The sequence below is a fragment of the Homo sapiens genome, chromosome 6 (assembly GCF_000001405.40).
Source record: "Homo sapiens chromosome 6, GRCh38.p14 Primary Assembly".
Lineage (NCBI taxonomy): Eukaryota > Metazoa > Chordata > Mammalia > Primates > Hominidae > Homo > Homo sapiens.
This window is the reverse complement of record NC_000006.12, coordinates 86,783,678-86,790,145: the sequence shown is the minus strand read 5'-3', so window position 1 is coordinate 86,790,145 and position 6,468 is coordinate 86,783,678. Positions and strand designations below refer to the sequence as shown.

The following is a 6,468-nucleotide window of genomic DNA, read 5'->3' as shown; positions in this document are numbered from 1 at the left end:
CGAGGGAGGGCAGGGATGATAAATGAAAACTGTGTCTATGTCTTCATATGTTTATTCTGTACCTGACTTTTTGTAATATTTTATTTTGATGAGTTGTACTTGGCTCAGATGAGGTTATCCCAAGCTCGTGTCTAGACTAGTCTGTTAGAAGAACTGCTCCACCCATATGTATATAAGTATGTATATAAAATTCAAATCTGTGGCTTAATTTGGAGAAGAGCAGTGGAGCCTCACTCAATTCATGCTAAGGTAGTGAGAACTGGGTTTCTATGTGGTTACAGCTCCTTCTGGCCAGGAAAATGTTGCTGATAACACTAATGCAGCTCTTTACTGACTTGCTTCTCTATCCTTGAGATAAGTCAACCTAGTATGTGATGTTTGTGCCTGGCCTTTCTATCAACTTAAACCTGTTCTTGGCATTTGTTAATATTGGGGTCATACAATCCAGTAAATGCCAGAAATAATTTTCCGGGAAGAACAAACTTCTTTTAATTTAGAAGCAGTTTATATCTTCCTATGGTTTTACGAAGCTATCATTGTCAAATTTAGCAGGTAAAAACCATATTTGAATGTAAAAATTACACTGTGAAATTAGAGTCTCGTAACCAACTGCCACCAAATTAACTTGCCAGATTAATTGTGCTCTCCATTGAGTTGTATGCTAACCAAGAATAAATTGTGCTTGGTCTCAAACTTGTTTATGTTACTTGTACCCTAACTCTAACCTTATACTTTCATAATTTAAGTAAATATTACATATTCTATGAAAAGAATGCAGGAGAGGATTGTTATTGAATTTTTTGTGTAAAAAAGCTACACAAAATGTAAGCTGCCTCCCCACTTCCCCCAAATAGGCATCAAATCTACATAAAGTAAGCTGCCAAATTATTACTGTAGAATTAGGTGTAGACAAAACTGTTATAAAGGTTGAGGGAGGAGCAGTAATAAAAATCTGGAAGAATTCTTCACTCAGGGGGTATTGCAAATGCCTGTAAGTTCACTTACAGACATTAAAACTTGACGTCATAGATGATGTATTATCCAATTATAAATAGACAATGCAGAATTTCAACCAGTGAATCTGAATGCTAATGAGAAGTTTTGATTCTAAACCAAAATCTTAGTGAATGATTGCGCTCCTATGTGGTTTCAGTAAAAATGAAATGTATGCTGTGTGTCATTACATATCGACTTTTAATGCTTGCTTGATTTAACAATCTATCTTTCTCAGTTAACCAACCAACTTGATCAAGTCTTGTTATACTGGATAGTAGGCTTCTGTAGTATGAACATTGCAACCAATGAAACATCTGACGGCCCCCTATAATTTTGGCTGTTCTCTTTCAGATAGCTATAGCATAGATAATGGGGTCTGGGACATGTTACTTTAAAATATGGCACCTTGGCATTTGAGGAAACTGCAGAAACAGGAAGGTCACTTTTGACTTCTCCTGCCTTCTTCCCTGAAGTAGGACATAAAAGAATTTTCTGACCTTCCTCTGAAGAAGTCCTTCATTCTAGGTGAGTCTACCCTTTATTCAGAGGAAAGGAATGTCTTTGAAGATGCAGAGATGCCAAGAAGAATCTGAATAAACAGATCTTGCTCAAGTTTATTATCATTATATCATAACCTTTTGTCTTCCAATCATAATTCTGCATGACTGTACATAAAAATACACAGGTCTCACTGTTTCATTGAGTCTTCACTTTTGAAGGTCCCCATGTCTTGTAAAATTTATATTAAATGAATTTGTCTTTTTTGTCTCTTGTTAATCTGTCTTTTGTAATAGAGTCTCAGACATGAACCTAGAGAGGACTGAGGAAAGAAATCTTTTTCTCCCCTACATGGACATACCCAAGGCTATGGAATCCTGTGCTCTCTTTAACTCCAGTTGCTGCTTCCACCTGTCAGCTTACTTATGCTCAACAGCCTATAAGAAAAGGGTAAACGATGATGAAGATGATCTCTCCTTGTTTCTGGAGCCGGCTTATTCTTTCTATTGGTTCATGAAGCTGTTGCCTTACTGTCCCTGAATTCCTGAAGTTCAGAGATTTGCTTGCCCTAGTCATAGTGACCCAGCTTGCCTTTCTTTACACTGTATTCCCTCCTTTAAACCAGTGGCCTGCTTTGGTAGCTTACAGTTCAGGTTATCTCATCTTTTTTCTCATGTCCTGTCTCATGGACCTCTCACCTGTCCTGCCCACACTTCCCATGCTTCATTTATCTCTGAGTTGAGTGTGTGTTTTGCAATCCCTTGTCTTGGTCTTTACTTGGCACTTTTGATGCTTTGGGCACAGTCTTCATCTTCTAGTTTTAAACCTCTACCCCAACTGGATGGTGAAATGATTTTGCTCTTTTTATTGTATTTTTCAACAGGTGCAGCAAACTGGAACTTAACTGCAAAGGCAGCTATGCTTTGCATTTACTGCTTTGAGTTCTGTTCTTGATGTTGTTTTGAACTGGATCTAGAAGCAAGAATAAAACTGGAGGGACTAATTTCTTGTAATTATGAAGCTTGTTCACAGGCACCATAGTTACTACCTACCATATGGTATGAAGTTAATTCTGGATTATTAATTATGTATGTATTGATTATGGTTCTGGATTTCAGGAACCAAGGCTAGGAGTTTAACCCAGCCATGGAAAGCTAGTAGATTATAATAGATAAAGAGGAGCAAGGTGGGGTGATGGTGAGTCACCGTTTCTTATTATAAAGATACACTATATTCTTGGGTCATGGTAGAGAATCAATTCAATAAAGTTATTATGAATACAAAGCTAAAAAGGATGAAATAATGCTTCTACTTAGAATGCTTTGTCTCTATGAGTTAAGTTTGTGTAGAGTTTAAACAAGGACATGGATTAGTTTAAAACATACTTTGACATAATATCATCATAGGAAGAGAACAATAATGAAAATATACATCATCTTGTAGCTCTGGTCCTCATACCATTCTCCTCAAATACTCTTGCCTGATGCTAAATTAGGGCTGTCCAATGACATAGCAAATAATCCTTACGAAAAACTACAAAGGTTACTGTGACTACACAAATTATTAACTCGAGTTGAATTCTTCAGTCTAACCATTTATTTCCAAATAGAGTTGTGCATGTCATTATATGGTTTTATAGCTCATTCGATACTGAGAATTCTAGGTCTACTGTTTGGAATTTGTCAGTTGGATTTAGACAGTACATGTGTTGGAAGTATTAATAAATATGATATAGTCTTAACTATTAAAAGATAATCTGTAGCCAGTCTTTCGCTAGTATTTTTCAGTCCCTGATTAGCAAGGCAAAAGCTTAGAAATACAACTCAGTGATGCAGAAAATAAACACAGAGTATACTAAATGCTATGCTAAAAACAATGAACAAACTCTAATATTCTGGGGATAGGGACAGGAGTAATTCTCACAATAGAAAAAGACACAGTGTCTTTAGGTAAAGTAATACTGGTAGTAAAAGCTCCCCATTTTATACAATGAGGTATAACAGCAGAACAGTGTAAATGGGCTCTCCAGATAACTTAGGGAAAGAACAACATACTGTGCTATTCAGCCAGTAGTTACAGGCAAAAGGTCCAGGCATATTAAGAATCCATCCTATTGGTAGTAGTAAGCCATTCTTGGCCACTTCTACTTGATATAATAAAGGGTGATAATTCAAACAGAAGAGATTTAAGTGAATTTGCCTTGTGTTTGCTAGCAAATGCCAAGTAGCAACAGCCTAAATTACATTAATTTTTGGATACATTGATTTTTAACATCATGTGAAGATTTTATAGCACCCATCAAGGATTCCCTTCATTGATGTACATAAAATGCTGTATCCAAGAATTTTTTCAATTTAAAAAGCTACCTTGCAAGATTGATTTGGAAACTCTTGTGTGCTCAAAATATAAGATAAAACACAACTCCAAAGATCTCAGCATAATGTGGCTTCTTTTGACAGAAAAAATACAATAATATTGGGCATACCTGGGGGTTCTCATGAGGTCTGCTTCCTTCTTCCAAACTAAAACCTCCTGTCCTTCTTCCAAACTAAAACAAATAGGTGTTGTCTTGAGAATACCTCAAGATGTATCCTTTGGGGTATATTAGCAGCAGGCAAATACACTAATGCCTATAAAGTTGTGATTACATAAATCATATATATGGTAGTGATTCTGCTTTGAGCAACTGGTCTGGATTTTCCATTGTATAACATTTTTAACACTGAGCTTACATGCACTGTATCATAGCCTTGCCTCTTCCTTAGAAGACTATCAGAACCAAGTTATCTGTTCTGACTAAACCTCTTTAGTTACACATGCTCTCCTCAAAGGGATAATTATTATCTCTTTGGGGGAGCTGAGACGCTAAAGCAAACTTTTTCTTTCTTATCACTCCATTTGAACTTGACCTGCAGAAAAAGCTGAAACTTTAAACACAGCCTCCTGGTCACAGATGTGGACTTCTGCCCACTTCTTAGTCACTTTTAACTCTCAGCCTCTTTTGCTTCTCGTAGGCAGAATGACATGAGGCAAATGGGGTGGTGATCTGCAGCGAGAATGTCAAAAGAACAATTGGCAATTAATATTTTGTCAGAGTTTCTCCAGGAAAGGAAATACTTTGATCCTAGATGACAGGCTACATTTATGGACAGAAAAATATGAGGGAAAACCTCTGAGGAAATAAAAGAATTTGCTATGAATATCCTTCTACAGCAAGAAACTCCATTATCTTTAAGTCTGTGCCTATAAAACCAGGTCACGTTTGCTCTTCTAGGTGGATTACTCACAGGAATTTATCGCTATCTCTTTTTTCCCCAGCCTTTTACCTTTATTCCATTCAGATGATTACTCTTACCTCTACCCTTGAGGACTAGTCTTTGCTTAAAATAAATCATGAGCTATTGACTGGGGAAAATATGTTAGTTTGATGTGTTATTTGATCCCATTTACTGCCTAGACTCTTTGCTTTGATTTGCACACCGATGCCTCATTTTCTTGCCAGAGTTTTGTCTTTTGCTTGAGCTGTAAATCCCTTTATTTGGGTAGCTGCCCTAAATTCTTGATCTGTTGAGTTCTGATCTTTAAATACAGTTTTAATTTTGTGCTGGAGTGTATGTGTGTGTGTCTTTGCCCAGGTAATAAGTTAATACATTTAGATGGGTCATTGGTTCATTTTTCCGTCTTCAAAACAAGGCTGGCTTTGGTGCGTGTTCACAGGCATGTAGATTTCTCACAGACAAACCTCTGGATACTCTAAACGTGGGTGTTAGCAATTTTGCACTGCCTTTTACTTCAAAAGGTTATGTGACAACTTACAAATATGCAAAATAAAACAATGAAACGAAGAAAAAAATGAGTTAATCAGAAAAGAGAGGAATAGAATTAGAGAAATAAAATGAAACCAGGGATGAGGTTAGCACACAAAATGCATGCTGAGGCCTTCCCCACTTGCTGCACTTGGACCACAGGTTTACCTTTGAATCTTCTAGCAGCCAATCTGGAGAAATAAACATAAAAATACATAATTTGCTGTGAATATGATTAAAACTCAAAATAAGGACAATTATTCTCAATGTTTATTCCTATGAGAATGTTTGCTGTGTTTTCATAAAGACCATTCTGTGACATTTAATGAATCATCAGTAATGTCCTCATGCTGAGACAACAATGAATATCCCAGAATTGTTTCTTTTTGCATCCCTCAATGTGCATTGCTAACATAATTATTAAGCACAGTTAATTCAGTAAGAGCAGTTTTACAGGGATCAGACAATGTGGTCAAGCTGCATAGCTCTCACAGTTTCAACTTAATGTAGGACAAACTGAAGTTTACAATTTATGGGCCACTTATTCAAAGTTTAGAAAATCCTTAAATAGTGCTTCTGTCAATGGAATTTTGACAGTAACTTGGAGGACATGGGCATGAGGCTATGATTACAAGTTCCTGGAGTGCAGACAATCCATTGTTGCCTAAATTCAGAATCTTATTCCTTAATAGACAGGTGAGCTGGAAAATAGGACTGACATTCTCTTTTCGGATTTAAGGACCCTAATGACAATCTGATTTCCTAATAGAAGTGAACCTAGGTAATTCACATGCAGAAGATAATATTTTGCTTTGCTCAACCACAGTGAAAAATTAATGATGCAAGCAAGAAAGTTCTATTTCTTGGAGCCTAACTGTAATAACTTTAGCCTAGAAATTTTCTGGAGTGAGTGTTAGAAAAAGCCAGTTCAACCATAAAAATAATTCAGTAAGCATCTATGAAATATCCAGCTTTAAATATAGAATTTCTTGGTGAACTTTTCAAGGCAAACTGATTGCAAAATATACCTTTAATAATCTCAGTGATTTGATTTGCTCCTATATTGCTGTAAGATATAAGCCAGTTAAATTTTGGGTGATGTCTATTCAAAAATGAAGAAATTGGCTTCTGAATGGTTAATATATCACCAATCTTCCTGGCAGTAACT

At 36.3% G+C, this 6,468-nt stretch overlaps 1 annotated feature.

The window, feature by feature from the left end:
* Positions 1,069–2,268: an enhancer, noted in NCBI's record as "BRD4-independent group 4 enhancer chr6:87497596-87498795 (GRCh37/hg19 assembly coordinates)". NCBI's record gives its function as "activates an origin of replication core promoter dependent on BRD2, P300/CBP, MED14 and CDK7 cofactors, and independent of BRD4, by STARR-seq in HCT116 cells {active_cell/tissue: HCT116}" and the evidence as "EXISTENCE:reporter gene assay evidence [ECO:0000049][PMID:35650434]".